The 23,251-nt window shown below is 45.2% G+C and overlaps 2 long non-coding RNA genes across 3 annotated transcripts in view, besides 3 other annotated features; one reads left to right on the forward strand and one right to left on the reverse strand.

Moving 5' to 3' along the window:
* Positions 1-23,251, forward strand: part of LOC105378861 (uncharacterized) — a 73,963-nt gene that overhangs the window by 38,476 nt on the left and 12,236 nt on the right. The window lies entirely within an intron of this gene.
* Positions 3,817-5,016: an enhancer, noted in NCBI's record as "P300/CBP strongly-dependent group 1 enhancer chr1:95070951-95072150 (GRCh37/hg19 assembly coordinates)". NCBI's record gives its function as "activates an origin of replication core promoter dependent on BRD2, BRD4, P300/CBP, MED14 and CDK7 cofactors, with strong dependence on P300/CBP, by STARR-seq in HCT116 cells {active_cell/tissue: HCT116}" and the evidence as "EXISTENCE:reporter gene assay evidence [ECO:0000049][PMID:35650434]".
* Positions 6,932-7,432: an enhancer, noted in NCBI's record as "H3K4me1 hESC enhancer chr1:95074066-95074566 (GRCh37/hg19 assembly coordinates)". NCBI's record gives its function as "activates a minimal SCP1, AML or CMV promoter by ChIP-STARR-seq in naive H9 embryonic stem cells {active_cell/tissue: H9 hESC(naive)}" and the evidence as "EXISTENCE:reporter gene assay evidence [ECO:0000049][PMID:30033119]".
* Positions 7,433-7,933: an enhancer, noted in NCBI's record as "H3K4me1 hESC enhancer chr1:95074567-95075067 (GRCh37/hg19 assembly coordinates)". NCBI's record gives its function as "activates a minimal SCP1, AML or CMV promoter by ChIP-STARR-seq in naive H9 embryonic stem cells {active_cell/tissue: H9 hESC(naive)}" and the evidence as "EXISTENCE:reporter gene assay evidence [ECO:0000049][PMID:30033119]".
* The window catches only part of SLC44A3-AS1 (SLC44A3 antisense RNA 1), a 203,881-nt gene continuing 195,403 nt past the window's right edge, over positions 14,774-23,251 (reverse strand). For both annotated transcript variants that reach the window (NR_160780.1, NR_160779.1), the window contains exons 5-6: positions 21,141-23,031; positions 14,774-15,493 (exon numbers count right to left, since the gene is read on the reverse strand). This is a non-coding gene — a long non-coding RNA (SLC44A3 antisense RNA 1). The remainder of the gene's footprint in view (positions 15,494-21,140; positions 23,032-23,251) is intronic.

Here is a 23,251-nt window from a genome sequence, read left to right on the forward strand (position 1 = left end):
TGTCTTCAGCGGACCCATTTGTCATCATCCTATAATTCTGTTAGCCATAAGTACCCCCAGTATATTTTCCTGGGCAAGAATGTGGTATTTCTGTCTGGTGTTGGCATTAGAGGATCTCCATCCGAGTGACAGTTGGGTTTGTTTAGGCTTGCTTTGATTAGCCTTGCTTGCTTGTAATGTGAAGTCCAAAGATCAGAATTCAAGTTCCATTTCTTTCTCTTCTCCTTGTATGATCTTGGACAAGTTATCAGCCCCTCTATACCTGGGTTTGCCCGCTAACAAAAATGGTCATAATAATACCCAGCCCAGGGCTGAGAATGAAGCTGTATCATAAATACAATGTGTTATACAAATGGTAGTTCATTTCACTACAAAATACCTGCTCATGCCCAACTTCACCTTAGGCATATAATTGATCAGGAGTGAGTTGTTGAGAGCACTTCTGAGTTTTAAATAACATGGAGAGGGGCTGTTTATTGAAGGGATAACTGTGGCAGATGCAGCAGGAAGGCTCTAAGGGGAAAGCGTCTCCCCTAAATTTCCTATTATGCAACTTAGTGTCCAGAACACTGTGGTGGTTGAGAATCAGGGTTCAGCAGAATATGCAAATTGCCTTTCCTTTCATCAGGACACAAAGAAAGAAATGAGCCCCCAAAATATCTCTCAGAAGTGACATGGGTTTATCATTTCCATTATCCTTGACACTTTTCAGGGGTTAAATGTCTCTGGCTAGGCGCATGTTATTATTTGAGTATTACTAGCCCTTTAAGAGCCTCGACACTTCTGGAAAGCAGCCCGTGGAGCTGCTTCAGCACCGAGTGGGTCTGAGCTACAAGAGGGTGACCGCTAATCCTAATTCTAACCCCAACCTGAATTTATGAGGTCCTGCTGGTACGCAGAGGGAGGACTGGAGGGACCAGTCAGGTTGGCCAGCTGGCCCAGTGGTATAGGGAGCCGTTGGATTGGGGTTTGTCACATAAACTGGGACCCTGCCCAAAGCCGAGACGTCGTAAGATTCCCCTGTTTTGCACAACCCTGTGGTAGTAGCCACATCCTTATTGTGTAAACTCAGGTTTAACCACAGAACAACCAGCTTATGCCTTGTTAGATGAGGAGGAGCTTAACCCACTGAAGAGTACTTTCTTTTAATAAGGAGAGACAACTTCAAAAAAAATTGTTTTAGGGGCCCCCAAAATTTCAGATGAGGACACTATGAAGATTTTGAGTCTTGCAAGCTGTGTGATTAAAATGATCAAGTGATTAAAATGCTGTTTTAATGCTATTATAAAATGGTATTTTAGTTTGGACACATCCTTAGAAAGACTCCTTCCGCAGAAAAACTGACGCAGCAATTTGTAGAGGGAACTCACAGGTGTTCCATGAACTGAATCACTACATGGGGGATTTTTAAAAGCTGGATTGGGGGAGCAGTGGATGGTAGAATGAATCCTTTATCTTGAAGATATAGCAAAAGTAAATACAAATTATACAGCTTGTAAGATTAATGCTTTTGAATCATAAAAAATAAACACAAAATTCTTGTGGCTTAGTTGCATAAAGATAAGCAATTCAAAGTCCATATCTTTAATGATAGCCTTTTTTCTGTCGTAAGTAAAGACTGCATCAAGGAATTAATGCAAACACATTTCTGCCTACCATCCTTATATTTCTCCTTTCTTGCTAAAATTACCTACTTCACAGGATGTGAGAATTAAATGAGATATGTGTCACTTTGTTTAGCACCAAAGAAACACTAAATAAGTATTGTCAAGTTGAAATCTGAATAGTGCTTTTCTTCTTCTCCCTGTCTTCCTTCTCCTTTTCCCATCCTCACCTGCTTTCTTGGTGCTTACTGAGAACTGACTGTGTCCCCTGGACTGGGGCAGAGGTGGCCCTGCTCTCCAGGAGCTTTGCTTATTCACTTACTCAACCAGTATTTATTGAACTCCAACTTGTACCAGTCTGTCTTCCAGCCCTGAAGACTCAGTGTTGAGGATGAAAAAGTCCCTGTTTACATCCAAGGGTTAATACACCAATACATTAATCAATCCATAGTATAACCTTGAGTACTATTAAGCGCTACAAAGAAAGACAAAGAAGGCTAAAGGGATGGAGAATGGTGGAAGTGAGTTGGAGGCTATTTTACATGGATACATCAAGAAAGCCTCTCTGGAGAAAGTGGCATTTGGGCAGAGTCCTGAATGAGGTGAGGAGGTGGCCCATGAGAGGATCCAGGCAGAGGATGAGGCAGGGGCACAGGAAACAGCATGTGCAAAGGCCCTGAGGTGAGCACAAGCTTGGCATGGTCTCAGGAAAACAAAAAGATCAGAAGGGTATGGTCTCAGGAAAACAAAAATATAGTGAGCTGGGAGAAGGTTGTCACACAGGAGCCTGGAGGCATGGGGTGAGGAGAAGATCACATAGGGCCTCATGGGGCATGCTATGAAGTTTGTTCAGATTGTATTCCAGGATTGATGGGAAGCTATTGGAGAGTTTTGAGTCCTTATATTGTTTATGTGCTTTAAAAGGATCACTTTAGCCACTGGAGAATACAGAAGAGCAAGAGCAGAGGCCCCAACCAGGGGGCTAGTATAGGGACGGAGAGGCAGTATAACACAGTGGGGAAGCCTCCAGGGCCAGACTGCCAGGGTTTGAAGCATGTCTGCCATTGATGAGCAGCATGAGCATGGACAAGTTAAATAACTCACCTGCACTTCACTTCTCTCATCTATAAAATGGAGATGTAATAGGGTTACCACATTGTACAACTCCAGAATCTCCCCCTGGAGTCCGACGAGTGCAGCGTGCACAGTGCCACTCAGAGCTGTGCAATGCAGCGGTCTCCATCATGAGTCCTACCTTGTTGTGTTACCATGAAGATTAAGGCATAACACACATGTAAAGTGTGTAGAACAATGCCTGGTACCCAAGAATATCTCAAAAATATCTGTTATTATTCGTAGCTGAGGTGAGAGATGATGGTAAGTGGATTAAAGTCGTTACAGTGGGGGTGTTGAAAAGTGATAAAATTTGAAATGAAATTTGAAGAAAGAGCTTGTGCTGGTTCCCAGGGCACAACCACTAATGATGATGGAATTCAGAAGCACATCCTTGCCAGGACTTCTAGGTGGGTTTCTTAGTATGATTCTATTTTGGAGCTGAATTTCTCAGAATCTTCCCCACCAGGATGTTTTCCACCTAAAACAATGAGTGGATGTAGTACATATTTTATAGAGTGATTATGAGATTTAAACAGGATCTTGCATGTAAATACCCTAACTTAGTGCCTAGTACATTGTAAGTTTCAATGACCGTTAGCTATCATCGTCATCATCATCTGAGCAGCTCAATGTTTCTGCTTAATGCAGGCACATACCTACAACTCCACAGAAGAGAGATAGCAGCAGTTTTCCCCTCTTGTGAGGAGAGCTAAAGAGAACAGAAGCATTTGGGAATTAAGGTCCTGAGGCCATAGTGTCCCTAAAGGAGGCCTGTTGTTGTGCCCTCAGACACCCTCCATGGCCCTCAAAAGGCCTGGATAAGAACCAGCCCAACCAGGAAGAGAAGCACCGGAACCTAAATAAAGACATAGGATTCAAAAGGCATGATTCACCTTTATTTCATTGGGTTTACCACTTACAGAGCCCAAGTCAACCATGTAAAGCTATGAAATTTATGTTCTATTCCTTTTCCTGACCCGCTTGGCCCTAATGAACCTCAAACACAAATACTGGAGGTGGCAAGGGGACCTCGGCAGGCCCAAGAGCTGCAGATACCCAACTCCTCCCAGGCCCTCCTCAACACCACCCCGCTCTGCTCTGCCCCACTGATGCCAGGTCCTGGTATCATTGCTGTCTGACTACTCACACACCATGAGGTAGCGTCCCTGCTTTTTTTTTTTTTTTTTTCCTGAGACAGAGTCTCGCTCTGTCACCCAGGCTGGAGTGCAGTGGCGCGATCTCGGCTCACTGCAAGCTCCGCCTCCTGGGTTCATGCTATTCTCCTGCCTCAGCCTCCCGAGTAGCTGGGACTACAGGTGCCCACCACCACACTCGGCTAATTTTTTTTGTATTTTTAGCAGAGACAGGGTTTCTCATGTTAGCCAGGATGGTCTTGATCTCCTGACCTCGTGATCCACCCGCCTCGGCCTCCCAAAGTGCTGGGATTACAGGCGTGAGCCACCGAGCCCGGCCGGCAACCCTGTTTTATTTGTTCTTGGATGTATGAACCATATAATTCCTTCTTCAAAAGTCATAAAGGCGAGACTCCAGCCAACAATTCCACATAAAAAGAGAGCGCCATTTTCTCGCTCTCAGGCTTGGTAATGATTCCTGCTGTGAGGCAGTCATTACGGAAATGACTCAGTCTTTCTCTCCTGTGTTAATAAGATTTTACTGTCTTTGGTCCTGACTCAAACTGGCTGAGAGCAATGTGGGGATCACAGAAGCTGTACCAGAGTGTGTCACTATGTAACTTTTCTTAACTTACCAAAATACCATGTGGATAGGAGCCATTCCAGCCCATCGCCTTGCTTCCGAGTTGGCTGTAGTCTTAGCCGGGTTCACACAATGGGCATCTGCTAATCTCTTTCCTTACCTGCCAGGAAGTTGAGGCCAAAGTTCTGTTTTCTCTCTAAAGGCTAATCAAGCTGTAAAGACGGTTAGTGGGCTGAGCTCAAAATAAGGCACCTGAGCTCTCTTTGCATCTCTAACATCCACAACACTAAGCTTCTTCCTGGGGTCCCAGTGTGATAACTGACCCAGGCCCAGATGGCAAACGAAAGCTATTAGGGTGACTGTGGAAACTTCTGTGTCTTCTTCTTGGTTGAAATTATCCTTCTGGAGCACATCTGGAGATCCTGGCCATTTAGAAGCCATCCAGGAGCCATTCATTTATTTGACAGACATTATTGATCACCTACAATCCAATGCCAAACAGCACTAGGCATTGAGTACAGAAAGACAAAAGGCACAGCTTCTAATGTCAGGGACCTCAAGGTGTCATGTAGGGGACTGATGAGAAAGTGAACAATGTGAGTCATATGGTTAGTGCTATAAAATATTCTGGGTGCTACAGAGGCGTTCAAGGAGTACTGACCACACTGGTGGTCAAGAAAGATTTCCTAAAGGAAGACACACTTAGATGACCTGAAGGGTGCACCGGCGCCCTCTAATCAGAGAAAGGCGAGGAAGGAAGCAGAGGGACATTTCTAAAGAGAGAGGGAACAGCACATGCAACAAAGCTGGCTAGCTGTGACCACTAACATCCATTTCCTCCTTCCTGGTCAAATAGCTAGGTGATACCTCCCAGCCTCCCTTTCAGTTGAGGATGCTACGAGACTGCATTCTGGCCAATGGGAGGTGTGCAGAGACACTGGGTGTTCTGGCCTACAAGATCCTCTCGTGTGTTCTCTGTGTGCTTCCCTACCTCAGCTAATTGGGAACAGATAGAAATCAGATCACAAAGGGCTTGTGTGCTGCCTGAAGGAACTCCATGTTACGGTGCTGGTAAGAAGCAAATGAGCACAACAAAGTGACCATACTTAGTGTTTAGAAAAATGGAGGTGGCAGGATATTAGGGACAGGTTAAACTTTACCTGAGCTTAAGAAATCCCCTACCTTTTTGTTTTCCAAAACACCCCCATCCTTTTGTGTTCCATGGCAAAATCTCAAAGGACCATCCTGCCCTCCAATATTTCAAGTAAGACCTGCCTCCATCCTTTCTAGAGATTCCTGTGAGATTCCTTTGTTCACCTGCCTGTGTAAAGCCCCGGGGCCCCTTCCTTTTCTTTGAGACATTCTCCTTTCATGAACATTCTCCCTATTGCAATACCCTGAATAAAACCATCTCCTTGATGGTCTGGTGCATTTGGTCTTTCACATGAGCACTGGATGAGGAGTCAAATCTTCTAAGTGAAATTCTGCTTCTACTTGAGAGTAGACTTCCACCTTGCTTTATTTTGCTTTGTTTTGTTTCGAGACAAGGTCTTGCTCTATCAGCCAGGCTGGAGTGCAGTTTTGTGATCATGACTCATTGAAGCCTCAGGCTCAGGTGATCCTCCCACCTCAGCCTCCTGAGTAGCTGGAACTACAGGCACGTACCACCATGCCTGGCTAATACTTTTTTTTTTTTTAATTTTCATAGAGACAGGGTCTCGCTATGTTGCCCAGGATGATCTTGAACTCTTGGGCCCAAGTAATTCACCCGTCTTGTCCTCCCAAAGTGCTAGGATTACAGGACGTTGACTCCCAACATCCTTGGCCTCTGCTTTATTTTTCTTCAACACATCTTATTGCATATTATTTATCATCAGTCCTCCATTAGAATATAAACTCCTTGAGGAATGGGCTTGCCTTCTTGACCACTGCATGTCCAGGGCCTAGCACAACTCCTGGCATGTAGCAGGTGCTCAATTATTAGGACAAATCATGGCTTGGTGACCTGATCCCAGACCGCCTGAGCTTTCTACCACCCTCCCTCGGCACCTCTGACCTTTCTTGCTCTCCATTGTTTCTCTCCCTCTTTCTCTGTGTTCCTGTCTGTCTCTTTTGCTCTAATCTCTCTCTGCCTGCCTCTCCCCCTTCCTCTTTGTGGATCTCTTTCTTAATCCCTCCCTTCTTGTTTTCCCCCGTCTCCTCCTTGGGCCTTGGGCCTGCAGTTCCCTCTTAGCCCTTCAGCTCTTACTTTTCAGCCAGGTTGTTTATCGGGAGGATATGGACCCAGGTGACAGAGCACCAGCTGTGGAATAAGGAATGACCCAACCCCATCTGTGTTTGTATCTGTTGAGTCATACAACTTTAGCACCTTCGGACATTCGTCTGCTCACAGGCTCCTTGAAAGTTAAAGATTTACCCAGAACTGGCCAAGTCCATGTTTTGGTAACAATCAACAAAGTGATCTATAAGCCTTGCTCCAAGCAGATTGCTGAGTGCTGAGAAGGAAAAAAGAACCCGGGTGAGAGGCCCCTGCCTTTCAGGAGCTTCCAGTCTAGTTAGCCAAGGAGGTGAGGCCCACACACAGTCTTACAGGAAACAGAGAACAAAGACAGGTAGAATTTGGGGTGTAGGCTGTGTAAACCAATGGGTCTGGAAAGGACCGGCCATTGCTAACTTTGGAACTTCGAGACACGTGGTCTGTGTGTGAATGATGAAGCAGGGATCAGGGCTTCGACTGCAGACAGGAAAGCAAGAAGTGAGGGTCAGTGAGTTGCAGTGTTCTGCTGGTAACTGCAAGGCTCTTTCGGCCACTGTGGCCCAAGCTTGCCTGAGGGGCCTCCTCTCTTATCAAGGCCCCACACTGTGTCCTTCTCATCCCATCATCGAACTGAGTTAAGGTGCAGGACTCGGTGAATGGAGATTTCCTCAGAACACAGAGTTAGAGCTGATGAGCTGGGCAGCCAGGTGTGGCTGCACAGAGGCGCATAAGCAGTTGTGTCCTGGAGCTGCAGGCCTGATCTAAGTTTCTTCATGTGGAGACTGCATCTCAGTGTATCTGGAGTGAACTCTCCCTCTGGTTTCTTAATAGCTATCCGCTGAATTGATTGAGATAGTAGGAAATTGTCTGAAAATCTTAATGAATAAACCCTGCAGTATGGCTGATGCCTTTTCCTCTGCAGGCTCAGAAAGTTGCCCACAGGAAAGTACAGCTCTGAGACACAGTGGGAGGTGGGTGGCCAGGTTGAGCTGAGAGCAGAAAACAGAAGGTGGTGACTTCGTGCTGGTTGTGGAAACTCCAGGCTGATGGCGATCCATCCAGTGTGAAACTTGTTTATACTGACACAAAGCTGAAGAGCACTTGGCATTCCTTTAGTTACTGCTTTTATAAACAGAGGGGCCTGAAACTTCCTGGGAAATGCTGGGAGCATCGTACGGCCTCCTAAGGTGGCTCTTTGTGGTTCTATAACTCTGGGGAGGCAGGGGAGGGAACGCATACTTTCCTGAGCCCTGGCTCATTTATAAATGTGGCGGGTGAGGTGGCAGAAATGAGTAAACTGAGTAAATGTTCCTCCCAGAGGATGATTCTTGGAGCAAAAAGGGATTTGAGGGTGGAAGGAAGCGATTAGCAGAAAGGGGTGTGGGGGTGCGCACGGGGCATCTCCCAAGTTCCTTCAGGAGGCGAGCTCTCATCTTACAGTCTTGTTGACTCCTGTCCTTGCTCCCATCTAACCTTGCCCAAAATACACACCAAAAACCAAATCCCCCCAGGAAGGCCGGTTCGTTTAGTCACCCCTTCCTTATCGCTGACGGTCTCCTTGCTCACATTTCACTCCCATTGCTGACTCAGGTTTGTCTTAAAAACTGCAGTTTTTGCACCTTGGGAAGATAATTTTATAACCCCACACCTGCTCTCTAGGTCTGGTCTGTGTGCTGTTAGAGTTGGTGTGTCTATGTCAGAGATACCAACAACATTTGAAGCCATAGTTCATGGCCTGGGTTAATGGATATTTAGGGCAAAGGCCCCAGTTCCACATTCGGATCTCCCTCCCCCACCAATTAGTATATTTAGGAAATATTTAAATGGCAACTCAGCAATGATCAACTCGATTTACTTCTGTTTCTTTATTTTAAAAAATAGGATTATCCAGGTTCCACATTTCAGTATTAAGATGCCTTAAGTTATTGAAATTTCAATTGTAATAAAGTAATAAAATGAGTCCTGGAGGCACGGGAGTGAAAAGGGGCTAATATCTCTAATATTTGTTAACCATTCACCTGCTCTGCCAGGCATCATGGGTGCTTTGCACATGACTTCTTAATCCACCTAGAAATGAGGTGTCAAGAAAGTGTGATTTACTCTCATTTCAGTTGAAGGAAGTACGGCTAAGTGGCATGTGCAAGTTCACACAGCCAATAGAAAATGCAATCGGGACCAGAAGCCACATTTGCAGGACTTCAAAGCCAAGGTTCTTCCTACCACAAAACCAGGATGCCCTCCTCTGCCACTGGAGTCTGCTGGACCAACCAGCAGCACAGGCAATGGCTATTGCTTTTGGTTATAGCATCAACGCAATCTATCTAAGTTGTGTTTTTGTTTTTTTGTTTTTTTTTTTTTGAGAGGGAGTCTCACTCTGTTGCCCAGGCTGGAGTGCAGTGGTGCGATCTTGGCTCACTGCAATCTCCACCTCCCAGGTTCAAGCGATTTTCCTGCCTCAGCCTCTGCAACAGCTGGGACTACAAGCGCGTGCCACCACGTCGGGCTAAATTTTTTTTTTTTTTTTTGTATTTTTAGTAGAGACAAAGTTTCACCATGTTGGCCAGGCTGGTCTCAAATTCCTGACCTCGTGATCTGCCCACCTCAGCCTCCCAAAGTGCTGGGATTACAGGTGTGAGCCACCATGCCTGGCCCAATCTATCTAAGTTTTTCTGTGGAAAAGTAGAATTATCTGCTGAATAATAAAACACCTTTTAGATAAAATTGCATTATGGTTTTCAAACTTCTTGAATCCATATTATTTATTTCTTACCACAATCCTATAGATATCATTATTAGGGATTATGGTGAGCACCTGCTCACCATATTTTTACCAGCCCAGCATCCACTTCTTTTTCTTATGGCACCAACAGATCACTGCCCTTAGAGGATCACTCTTCCTCCATCCTCAGTCCATGTGATTTGCCTAGGGCTGACCCCAGTGACTGGCTCTAGGAGTCTAGACCCAAACCCGACCAATGAGGGCACTGATCTCTGATTGGTTTAGGGGTGAGCATGGCCATGTTGACCAACAAAGGAAATGAGCATCAGCTCCCGACCTTTTGCAGAAACAATAAGACATTGGAGCTTTCCTCCTGGTGGTGGTGCAAAGCTGGCAGGAAGTGCTGGTCGCTGTCTTTGCCTAACTTGGGGAGAGCTGGTCTGAGAATGGAGGTAAATCCAGAGGAGAGCTGAGCTAAAGAGAGGGAGGAGACAGGTCCCCGATGACATTGTCTGGCACCCAAATACAGCAGTGCTCAAAGTCCAGTCTCTCCTGGACTTCTTAGCTCATTAAACTAAGAAAATTTGCCTTTGTTTAAGCTGGTTAGAGTTGAATTTCTGTCACTTTGTTTTATATTATTCAAATTATTGCTCTCTACTGGCAAGGGAAATTTGGTTGAGATCACTGTTTTTCTTCACAAATATATAAATTTGGAAAGGACACTTTGTTTCTTATAAACGGTTACAGCCTGCAAGGTGGCCATCTGCAGGCTGGGAAGTGTAGCCTCTGGCAAAGACCGAAGACAGGCACTTTGAAGGAGGAAGGTTTGGACAGGAATTTAAGCTGAATGGGTTGGCCAAGTACACATATTCAACAGGTTATAAGAGGAGCCATGAATATTCATGAAGGCGGTCCTGACGCATGCATATTGAACAAGCATGCATGTAACATACAACCCGTGTTCACCTAGGGGTGAAGACTTAACATTTAAATGTGTTACAATTAGGCCTTTAATGTCAAAGGTCTTTTTAGGATGCAAAGGCACTCAAATGTGCATCCTCTGTAAACTGGCCAGAGTCAGTCAATGGTTGGTGGTCTTCTTATCAGGAGAAAGTTACTGAAATCAGTCTCTTGTCCAATCAAAGCTGTAGTGATGGCTTGTGGAACAGGGGGTCAGTTAGTGCATGGCAGTGGCTGCAAATTGTTTTACTATTGCTTATCTCGAGGCCAGTGCTTGTTTAACTGCTAGAGAAAAAGGTAAACCTTGTGGCAGAGAACACAGTTTATTCTTTAGGTGTAGAGGTGAGTGACTCAACCCTTGTCTGGCATGGCTCTAGGTCCTGTTTATAATTTAGTATTTTATTGCCACAAAGAGTCTGTTCTGTCAGTCTTATGAGCTCAATTTTAACATTAATGCTGCTCAGTTCTTTCTAACCCATAAAAGGGAGGGGGCATAATGAGGCGTATCTGATCTCCTGTCAAGGCTCAGTTTTTAACATTTTCTGAGGCCTCCTTGGACAAGAGGGAGTCCATTCCGTCAGTTGGGGAACTTAGGATTTTATTTTTAGTTTATAGTTTCATCTTTCCCAACCTTCTTGGCCATTTATGAGTTGTGGATTCTGGGGATACAAGAAGCAGCCAGTCCCAGAGATGTTTCTTATTTTGTCATAGGGTGGTGGAGTGGGTTGCTGATAACACAAGGCATTATGAGCTAAAGTTGAAATCCACTTTCACTTTCCCTGCCTTCTCAATTTTTCTCTCATTTGAAAGGGTGTCAGAGAGCCAGAGAAACTGAAAGAATTAGGAAGAAGAGGGGAGAGGTGGTGTTTGGGGACACTGTTGGAAGGGAGACAGGACCTGCATGTGCAATGCACATTAGGCAATATTAAATGTGACTCTAGGCATTTGGTGAGAGGTCAGAAATGAAAATGCAGTTTTAGGCAACCTAGATAAAAGTGAGAGGTGAAAGGTCAAGTTTCAGGAGTCTATGTGTTAGAGTCATGTGAACCAGAGCAACTCCATCTTAAATAAGAGCTGGGTAAAATGAGGCTGAAAACTACTGGGCTGCATTCTCAGATGGTTAAGGCATTCTAAGTCACAGGATGAGATAGGAGGTCAGCGCAAAATAGAAGTCATAAAGACCTTGCTGTTAAAACAGGTCACAGTAAACGAGCCGGCCAAAACCCACCGAAACCAAAATGGCGACGAGAGTGACCTCTGGTCGTCCTCACTGCTGCACTCCCACCAGCGCCATGACAGTTTGCAAATGCCATGGCAACATCAGGAAGGTACCCTATATGGTCTAAAAAGGGGAGGCATAAATAATCCACCCCTTGTTTAGCATATCATCAAAAAATAACCATAAAAATGGGCAACCAGCAGCCCTTGGGGCTGCTCTGTCTATGGAGTAGCCATTCTTTTATTCCTTTGCTTTTGTAATAAACTTGCTTTCATTTTGCACTGCGGACTCACCCTGAATTCTTTCTTGCGTGAGATCCAAGAACCCTCTCTTGGGATCTGGATCGGGACCCCTTTCCTGTAACATATGCAAGGAAAGAAATGCAGAGGAATGGAACTGAGCCATGGAACAGACATTTGGGGTTGGGCAGGAGGAGTTAGCAGAGAGATCTGCATAGCTCTTATCCTACTTAGCACTAGTGCTGTTCAAGGTAGAACTCACAGCATAAGAATTCACTCTGAAACATAGAATAGGGTGTCTTTAGGTATATACGTATACATCAATATTCAGAAAATGCAGACTCTTAAGATTATAAAATCTGCTGTTCTTCCATAATTTATTCATTTCTTTTGCAGTTGAAGAAAATGTGTTTAGGGCAAGTTACCGTTGGCATGTTTGACCATAATAAATAGTTTGAGTTTTTAAAATAATTTCAGAATGTCTAAGAATTAAATATTTTTTCTGTGTACTTTAGTATATGTGAAATTTAGGGTCAAAACATCACAAAACGCCCTCCAAATGACAAGACCAAAATATTATTTTAGATCAGAGCCTTGTCAACCTTTAGTGTACACTACAGTCTTTTGATTATTTTGAGAAGTCTGTAGTCTTGAAAGCATATCGTATGAGAAGATAGATACTGATATAGAACTGCTAATGGAAACTTGTATGTAAGAATTTTGTTTTTTCTGGCTTCATAGAGCAAACCCTTGTTTACATAGAATAAGAGAGAAAAAAGAGGCAAGAGGATACATTACATTTCTAAGTTAAGTGCAAGCATCCTGGATATTGTAACAGACTGGGAGTTGTATTAGAGTCTATTTGATTCTCAAAGCATTTCGCGGCCTTTCATTAGGCAGCACCCTGCCTTCCACGTCACAGGCTGTCACAGACACTTGTTGAGGATGATGCTGGTGACGTCATCAGTCCTTTTTCAGCAAAGTCTCCTGAAAATAAAGCTCAGATTGGCTGTGCACATCTCTGGACCTAGTCCAGAGTCAAGCACCACTGAGGGCAGGGACCTGCCCAGGGGTGCTGCTGACGTTTGAGATGGAGTGGTTCTTCACAGCACAGAAGTGTTCCATCACTGTGGGACATTTAATATCCCTGCCCTCTTCACTAGATGTTTGCAACACTCCCCAATCATTGCGATAACCGTGACACCATGGTTAACCCTACATTACCAAATACCCTCTAAGAGATTCCGCTTTCTCTTCTTAGTCAGTAACCAGTAGAAGATTGCCCCTTTGGTTCTGAAGATGTTAGCTATGGGAACCTCAAAGGCTTAGGAAACTGCCAACACCTGAGATCTAACTTGATCTAACCTTAACCCACCATCTATTTCTGCCATGACCATGCTACTTTCATCCTTTATAATTGCCAGGCAGAAATAACAAATACTTTGGGATATTGTTGTTCATGACCACTATCCACCCCAGACTTTCCTATCAAATCACATGCAAGTGCTTTAAACCTGCTGCATTAGAATTAAGGCTTTGAGTTATTCACTGAGAAGGAAAAGTTCCAGAAGTTCAGAAACTTAGGAAGCAGTGTGGAGCCCAAGAGACCCAGAGAGCAGCAGTTCTTCTTTAGAGCACATGCAGCTTCTGAGATTCTTCTTCTGGCTGTGCATGTTGAGGAAAAGATGATCCCTTGGCTTCTGCAATCGCCTTTGCACTTGCTCCTTCCTCTGAAGAGCTCACCAGGAAGTCTCTCTGGGCGCCTTCTCCGCACTCCAGACTTCCCACACTCAGCAGCACCTCCACCCTGACCCTGCCTCCTTCCAACTAAGTCGTTTCACTTCCTGTTGTCTGGGGCAGTCAACACATGTAAACTTTCAGAGCTGAGTTTTATTTTTTTTGAGGGAAAATATTTTAAGGAATTTTTAGGGGGATTTCAGTAGAAGACCCAGGGATTCCCAGCACTGTTCTGCTATGCTAAGAATATTAAGTTGTAGTACCCTAAATATTTGCAAAGTCACATTGTCCTTTCCCTTGTTTCTGAAAAGAACAAAACCGTGCAGCCAATAGCTGATCATTCCATTTTCAAGTTCACCTAGGTCAGAAAACCACTGTGGGCAGTTGCTTCAAGGCAGCTTATAACTGCTTCCATGGAAGTCATTGTTTATTTTTATTTTTTAATTAATTAATTAATTAATTAATTAATTTGAGACGGAGTCTCACTCTGTCGCCCAGGCTGGACAGCAGTGGCATCCTCTTGGCTCATTGCAACCTCCGCCTCCCAGGTTCCAGCAATTCTCCTGCCTCAGCCTTCCGAGTACCTGGGACTACAGGTGTGCACCACCACACCTGGCTAATTTTTGTATTTTTTGGTAGAGACGGGCTTTCACCATATTGGCCAGGCTGGTCTCGAACTCCTGACCTTGTGATCCACCCGCCTCAGCCTCCCAAAGTACTGGGATTACAGGCATGAGCTACCACGCTTGGCTGCAATTGTTTATTAAGAGCAGTTACTTGGCCTTTGGGAATATCAATATTTATACTACCAAAAAACAAAATGCAAAGAATTCATGAAGGTCTCTAGAAATTTGAAAAAAGTAGTGTAATGGTGAAGAAGAGAACAGTCATTGGTGTTCTGGATTAAAGTCCTAGCTCTACCCACCTAATGCAGTGGACAAATTACTTGACCTCTCTTATCCTCAGGAGTCTCAGCTATATAGTAGGAATAATAATATTACTTATGACAGGGGGTTTTGGAAAGGATTATGTAAAATAAAATAAGTGAAGAATTGAGCTAATTCCTGGCATATAGTAGTCACTTAACATATTGTAATTATGATGATGGTTTTTCCTACAGAAAGAATGGACACTTGAGAAAATAAAGGTTTTGTTGGGGAGGGGAAGAAGGAAGGGAGGAAAGATGAGCCTAAAGAAGTAAAAACATTTTTTCCAATTACAAATTTATTAACCCCTAAAATAATGTTATAGTTTCAGAGAAAATTAGAAGCATAGAAAAAAAAAAGCAAGATTGTGGTGACATATATGTAATTAACTGAACAAGCAGGAAGAATTCAAAAGCATTTGAATTGAGATCCTAGAATTCATAGCTGGTCTCCCTGCCCACCAAGAAGGCATGTTAATCTGGATTCTTTAGAGATAATAGAAATGTCTTAAATTCCTTTGGGTGCAGTAAAATGGCCCTAGCTTGCACTAGCCCCATTGAAAGGTAGAGATTAAATTGAAGATAACCAAGCACCTGTCATTCTTCCCACTGCCTTCTGGATCACTACAAAGAAATAAGGATTTGTCTTTTCAAAGAGCAGGAGAGCAGTAGCTCATGAGGCAGTGTTGATTGACGGTTCATGCTCGAAGAAAGGTATGAGTGCTGCACTCAATTTTAACTTAAAAAAAAATCTGAGACTTGTATTTCCTGTTAGAAAGCTCTGCAGAGGGGTGTGTCCAAGGATTCTGGAGAATTAATGACAGACATATGGGTAGCTTCTTAGCGACACAGGAGGAGATGAGATGCACGTATGCCGTGTGTTAGGGGGGTAATGGGTGCTTGGATTGAAACTCGTCTGCTGTTTGCTGAGCCCCACTCCTCCTTCAGAGTCGCTTTCAGGCCTCCATTTCTCCATGAAGCACTTTTAACACTGATCCACACTAAAAATAATGACAATAGCATATTAGTAACAATAGTAATTACCATTTATTCAATGCCTACCAGTTGCTAGGCACTATGCTAGGAGTTTAACATATAATATCTATTTCTTAACAATAATCCGATCCTAAAAACAATCCAACAAGCTTTATGCGTATTACCTCTGATTTTTATAACGAGTAAGATAAGTTTTATTATCCTTGCTTCACAGATGAGGAAATAGGCTTAGAGAGGTTGTAGTGTGCCCAAGTCCTCACAGCCTGTTGCAGACACAGCTGGCATTGGACACTTTCCTGAGGGCAAGGGTCTGGATGTGCACATCTTTTGTAGCCCTCATAGCACAGCCCTCAGTCCCTCTTGTTCTGCAAAAGGTCCTCAGCATATGTTATATGATTATGTGATTCTGTCAAAGGTGTTCAAATGAGAGTGACTCCATCTTGAATAGGGGCTGGGTAAAATAAGGCTGAGACCTACTGGGCTGCATTCCCAAGTGGTTAGGCATTAGGCATTCTTAGTCACAGAATGGGATAGGAGGTCGGCACAAGATACAGGTCACGAAGACCTTGCTGATTAAGCAGGATGTGGTAAGGAAGCTGGCCAAAATCTGCCAAAACCAAGATGGCAATGAAAGTGACCTCTGCTCATCTTCACTGCTCATTATACGCTGATTATAATACATTAGCATGCTAAAAGACACTCCCACCAGTGCCATGAAGTTTACAAATGACATGGCAACATCAGGAAGTTACCCTATTTGGTCTAAAAGGGAGAGGAACCCTCAGTTTCAAGAATTGCCCACCTCTTTCCCGGAAAACTCATGAATAATCCACACTTTGTTGCATATAATCAAGAAATAACTATAAGTATACTCAGTGGAGCAGCCCGTGCTGCTACTCTGCCTATGGAGTAGCCATTCTTTATTCCTTTACTTTTCTAATAAACTTGCTTTCACTTTGTGGAAATGCCCCGAATTCTTTCTTGCCCAAGGTCCAAGAGTCCTCTCTTGGGGTCTAAATTAGGATCCCTTTCTGGTAACACTTCAAATAAATATTTGCCATCTACATTTAGGGGTGGTACTATGGTGTGTGTACATCCTGGGGCTGGTATACAGGGAACCTGGATGTGGTCTCTGAGAGAGCTCGAGGCACCGGCATCCACTAGCCACGTGCTGCCAGCAGCTGGGCTGCCTGCCTCTCGCCATACTCATCCACATCCCAGAAAATGCCAGGATTTAGAGCCGGAGCTGACCACTCACACCATCTGGACCATCCCCATCTATAAATCTACACATATAGGGTCTTTTTTGAGTGAGACTCAGAGAGCGTGAGTCAACCAAGTTCATATAGCTAAAAGTGGCAGGGTTGGGACATGAATGCAGGTCACCTCCTAAACCTTCATCCCACCCTTTTCCATGATACAACAGCAAGGCAGGGCATGAGGGAATGTCAGAGCAGAAGATGGCCCTGGCTGAGCTGTCCATGGTGGCGGTCTTTCAGGGAACCCGCCCCGAAAATCACATAGGTTCTTTTCTGTTTTCCTAAGCATCTGCTGGCTTGAGAAATAAAGGGACAAAGTACAAAAGAGAGAAATTTTAAAGCTGGGCATCCACGGGGGACATCACACGTTGGTAGGATCCGTGATGCCACAAAACCAGCCAGTTTTTATTAGGGAAGTTTTTATTAGGGATTTTCAAAAGGGGAGGGAGTGTGCAAATAGGTGTGGGTGACAGACATCAAGTACTTAACAGGGTAATAGAATATCACAAGGCAAGTGGAGGCAGGGGGAGATCACAGGACCATAAGACTGAGGTGAAATTAAAATTGCTAATGAAGTTTCGGGCACCATTGTCATTGATAACATCTTATCAGGAGACAGGGTTTTGAGATCAACTGTTCTGACCAAAATTTATTAGGCGGGAATTTCCTCTTCCTAATAAGCCTGGGAGCGCTATGGGAGACTGGAGTCTATTTCACCTCTGCAGACTTGACATTAAGAGACAGGTACGCCCTGGGGGGGCCAGTTCAGAGACCTACCCCTAGGTGTGCATTCTCTTTCTCAGGGATGTTCCATGCTGAGAAAGAGAATTCAGTGATATTTCTCTCATTTGCTTTTGAAAGAAGAGAAATATGGCTCTGTTCTGCCCGGCTCACCGGTGGTCAGAGTTTAAGGTTATCTCTCTTATTCCCTGAACATTGCTGTTATCCTGTTCTTTTTTCAAGGTGCTCAGATTTCATATTGCACAAACACACATGCTGTACAATTTGTGCAGTTAATGCAATTATTACAGGGTCCTGAGGTGATACACATCCTCCTCGGCTGACAAGATTAAGAGATTAAAGTAAAGACAGGCATAGGAAATCACAGGGGTATTGACTGGGGAAGTGATAAGTCTCCATGAAATCTTTACAATTTATGTTTAGAGATTGCAGTAAAGACAGGCATAAGAAATTACAAAAGTATTAATTTGGGGAACTAATAAATGTCCATAAAATCTTCACAATCCATGTTCTTCTGTCATGGCTTCAGCTGGTCCCTCCATTTGGGGTCCCTGACTTCCCGCAACAGCGGTCAGTCTGGCCATTGGGCTGGGGTGGAGTGACATAGATCACATGCCTGTCAGTCATGCCCCACCCGGCACCACTATGCAACAGCCCCAGATGCACATGCAGGACAGGCAGGGGACCAGCCTGTGGAGAACATTTTGTCTGCCTAGAGTTAAGCCTTGTCAGTGATTGACAATGTGGACCAAGGGAGAAGGTCTATTTTCTGAAAGTTTCATTCTGCATGCTCCCTTAAAAACCCATTGTAATGTTCATCCAAGCAAGCTACACGTTTGTGGCAGATTTCTCTTGATTATATTTGGCTTATTTTGCTTATTTCAGATTTTATCTGTTATACCTGTCTAAACATTCCAGAATAAACCACAGGTATGCAAATCTTGGTTAACTATTTAAAAATAGGGATACTTGCAGTTGAAAATACTTTTATTTTACAAAGTGAGTTTTTTTTTAACAATCTGTACCAAGTTTCACAGATTCACTGTTTTTTTCTTTCCTGGAGGAAATTACCCTACACAATAAAACTATATTCCCCTCGTGTTGCCCCTTTCTTCAAAGTAGGTCAGCAAACCCTCGAGCATATGTTATGTGGAAGGAAGGCTCTGTGGCAGATAACAGCTATGGACACTCATCTCTGTCCTCAAGGGGTTTACACTTCATTTGCAGAAAAACAACAACAGCTGGCAGGTATTGAATACCTCTTGTGTGCCAGGCACTATTCCAGGCACTTTGCATAGGCTATCACATTGACTCCTCCTAACATGCTTAGTGAGGTGGTACTAGTGGGTGAGAAACTGAGAGGCTCAGGGAGGTTTTGTGTTTTGCCCAAGATCACAACTACTGTGAGTGGTAGAGCTGGTCTGTGTACCTGGCAGTCTGACTCCATGCACACCTACCTATTAAGTGCTACAGCCAGCAGGTGCCACCACTTAACAGTTGCTGCTGTATATGGATTGGTTCCCCAACAAGGGTGCAGATGCCTGGTAGATTCACAACATCTTACCTCTTTTGAATGCCCAACAGCCCCAGGAGCGCTGTGCTCCCAGTTCAGGTTGACTAAATGTTCTTTGACTGATTGCACAGGAGAGGGGAGATACGTTGTCTTGCGGTGCCCTGAGAATTGAGATGGACCTTATAAGGAATAAACTCTCTCAACAGTGAGGATGAAATCAAGCCCAGGAACATTTCCTAGGACAGGCCTTGGCAAGCCTTAGCGAGGACCTAATCATCCAATGCTGCCAAGAAGCAATAGTTTAGACGTCGTTATGTCCCACGTTCTCAAACAAGTTTACCTGTTGCACTGGAGAGTCGACTTTCAGTTCAGGGATCAGGAGCCTCCACATGTGGGTCCTTGCTTAGGAACCCTGCGGCAGCATTGAGGGGAGAGAAGCTCGGAGCCCCTCCTGCCCTCAAGTGCTCAAAGTGGAGCTCTGAGCTGTAATAAGGCCTTGGTCCTGGCACCAGACAAAATGTATGTGTGTATGTATATTTATGTGTCTATCTAGCCTTTATTCATTTATATATTTAAATTTTACATTTTGATGATGAAGCCATAGGCCTCACTCTACTTGTCTAGGAGCTGTGTTCTGAGTTCCACCTGCAGCTAACCCCGTGTAGATATTATGCCGCTCAGGGCTGAGGCTGGGGAAAGGCAGGAATCAAAATAGAGGGGCCAAGTCCAGTGGAGGCTGGATCCATCCTGGAATATGTCATCTGTGACATTTAAAGCCACCAAAGGCATTTTCCAGCAACCTTTAACATCCTGGGCAGAGGGGTCTGGAAAAAAGTTGTGTTCCCTCCTTTAACCTCCCTTTCCACCTGGTGCTTCCTTTTCCAAGAATAAAAGGGCGCTACCTGTGTGAGTTGGCCAGGCCACTCTGCAGCCAAAGAATCTGGGGGCTGGCTCAGTGCCAGGCAGCACCACACCCAGGTCTGCTATCCTGCACATTTATCTGCAGAGGCCCTGCACGCTGCTGGGGAGGAGAGGTGGGCTTTCTTGGCTGACTCATGCCGAGGAAGTGAAAAGCCCAGACACATTTGGTTCATCAATTCCTCCCAGGTCTCAGCCTGTGCTTACTAACCCAGGCAGTGTGTACTGACACTGAGAAACTGGGTGTCTCTGGGAGTCAGTGATCTCAGATCTGTGGGTGACATATAGGACTTGATGATTTGATCTTCATTTCAAGTACCAACTGCTTTTTTATCTTCTTTTACTTTGTTCTTCTTTAACTCATTAGGGAATTTTTCAGTAGGATTAAGTAAAATAGATTCCTCAAATTTGTTTCCAAGTTCAGATCCAACCAGGATTTTTCAACATCCTCTTGGTTCCCTGCCACATACAATAAATACTATGGTCAAATATTATTACATCATGACAGCAATGTCTAAGGTGAGGCTTGTAGAAACAGCATTGAAAGGAGTCCTGGATATCCTGGTCCTGATTCTGGAGATGGGGAGGCATTCATTCCAGGATTGGACCTTCTACCCTTAAGGCAGGCCCAGCTCCAGGCTTCTCCTGCCTGAATACTACACACAGTTCCTAAGCCAGGAGCCCTATGTTGGCTCAAGAACCTGGAACTTAAAGCAGACTCCTCCAGTGCTAGAGACAAATGGGAGGTAGCAATGCCCGAACAATTGACCCTTGACAGCTTTGGATGGACAGAGAAGGTCTTCAACAAAGTCATTCTTTCTCATCTCAGTGGTCTTTGAAGAACTCCTTCCAGCTGAGCTACTGTGGAGTTAACTCAGCATGGCTGAGCATTTATCGGAACCTACTAAGTGCTGTGAGGTACCAGGCCCTGCAAAAGTAAGGATAAATGTGCCCAGTTCCTGTCCTGCGTGGACTCAAAGGGCGAGCAGGCCTTGGGTTGATGATTTAGCCCAGGACAATGATCAGAACACACTGTGGGCCTAAATGATTCACCAGAGTCTGCTTTTCTCAGGGATGTAGTCTTGACGGAATCCTAAAGAAGTTCCTTTATCTCTAGCATTTTCTCTTGTTTTCTGTCATTTCCTACCTACTGTGGGGTTTAAAGGGGCTGATGAGGGAGGGAAGCAAATACACAGTGTGTTGAATGAGCAGGTTGGTTACCTTGTGGACAACTGTGCTTGTCCTCCTGGGACCTGGGAAGGATGGTGTAGAACTTTCCTGGCACCATCCCACTTGCAGGCGAGGAATCCGGGGGACGTGTCTACCAGTTCCATCCGCCACTGGCAGAGAGCATTCACTCCCCAGAAAGCCTGGCCTGACCTGCCTGTGGCCCCAGCACATTCCTGAGGACAAAGAAATCCAGAGAAATTGCTGAGGCAGAGAGTCACAGAAGGCGCAGGCCTGCGGAAGGGTGAGGCCAGTGGACCTGGGCAAGGCATTGGCAGACGGTGTCATGCTCCCAGGCCTGGTGGAGCTGCCTGCAGCACAGAGACCAGCCCTCCTGAGGATGAGGGGAAACAGCAGGCAGCGTGGGAATGGCAGCATTAATACCCCACCCAGGGCAGAGGAACGTGGACCCAGCGATGTCAGCCTCTCCTCCCCACACCAGCGGGAGAAAGTGGGAGCACAGGCAGAGGTGTTGTTTCAGGCAGCTCTCCTAACAGAACTTTCCTTATGAAAATATGTAAGCACTCAGGGAAATAGGTTTGAATTAACTTTACATACACACAGTGAGGTTTCCTCAGTCCATACATGGCCTCAGCACAGGCTCAGAGCATCACCTGTACAATTCCTGCACTGACCGACACAGGTTTAGCTGGTAGCAGGGACAGGTGCTGGGTGGGAAGCTCTCAGTTCCTGCTTTTCACCCCCATCTAAGTGTTCTCTGAGACCAGGGATTGATCCTGGCTCACCTGGAGTGTGCTCCACAGTCTGAGGATTTGGGAGGGTTTCTGTGTTCATGCCTACCTGGCAGGCAGAGGTTTCTGTGACCTAAAAGCTGTCTGTGGGAGCCTGTCTGGCTCTTGTGAGCCTGCTTCCTGGGAGCAGCCCCAGCCTCCCTGTGTGTCTCATGCCCCCTGGACTCAACAGGGGCTTGGAAGATCCTGAGGCTGCATCAGGGTCCTTGGCCAAAATTCACACTGGAAGTTACTCTGCCTGACTCCTAGGTGCCAAGGAGTCTATTAATACTTATGAGCTGTTCATTAGCATTGGGAGAAATCAGCCCAAACTCTGGCGGGAAGGGAGGGTGTGTGTTTGTCTAAATAGTTTGGCGCTTGGTCAGCCGCCCTCCTGTTTGTGAAATCTGTGAGGCCCCTCACCACAGCCTGGGGCTGGAAGCAGGCCTCCAGTCGAGCTGGCAGCAACCCCAGCCCCCTAGGTTCTGGCCACAGCGAAGAGAACATTCAGGTTCGAGCCCCCTTCATCCTCAGGCCGGGAGGAGATTGAAGTCTCTGACATGTCTTTTCAACTCCTTCCATTTAATTGTTAATTAGGAGAGAGCAGAGGGAAGAAGGAAAGGTAAATGTTTCCCTTCTTGACAAAGCAATCACTCTGCGGCTGGGCCACAGTTCCCTGACCAGTGAGGAGCCCAGGTGAGTCCTCATCGGCTCAGAAATGGTGAGCAGTTCTTTCCAGCCCTGACCTCCCGAGCCCAGGAAGCCTTCTTGCTTTTCCTCTTTAGGTGAACATAGCCCTTTTGGGTTGAGAAAAGAGCAGGAGATGGCCAGGCACAAAAAGTTATTCTCTAAAGATCTTGCCTAGGAAGAGAGAAATCAAAGCTAAACCCAGGCTCTGTATCAGATCAGGGACCAACTCTCATCTCAGCTGTCGACGCTGCTGTGGTTCCAGGCCTCTTGGATGAACTGGTTGGGCTGCCTGAGCAGTTTATTTCTAAAGGGTATAGGAGCCTCTGGGATAGAACTCATTACAGGGGGAGAGCGAGGCATAGTGGGCCTCGCCAACAGTGAAGCGTCAGGTGTCGGAGGCAAGCTGCGATTCTGACTTCAGTGTGGTTGCATCTGTTCTCCATCTGGTCCCTTGGAGACCTCATCTGGGTCACAGGAGAGAAAGGGTGGCCAGTAAAATATATATACACACATATATATATATGATAAAATATTCTTTAAAAATCTCAGCTTCATCCTGTCACCCACCAACTGTGTGACTGTGGGCAGGTTACCTCTCCTCTCTACGCCTCAGCCTCCTCATCATTAAATGGTGATGCCCGCAGTGCCTGAGAGGGCTGCTCTGAAGTCATTGGAGTTCGTGTT

Source organism: Homo sapiens, chromosome 1, assembly GCF_000001405.40.
Source record: "Homo sapiens chromosome 1, GRCh38.p14 Primary Assembly".
NCBI lineage: Eukaryota > Metazoa > Chordata > Mammalia > Primates > Hominidae > Homo > Homo sapiens.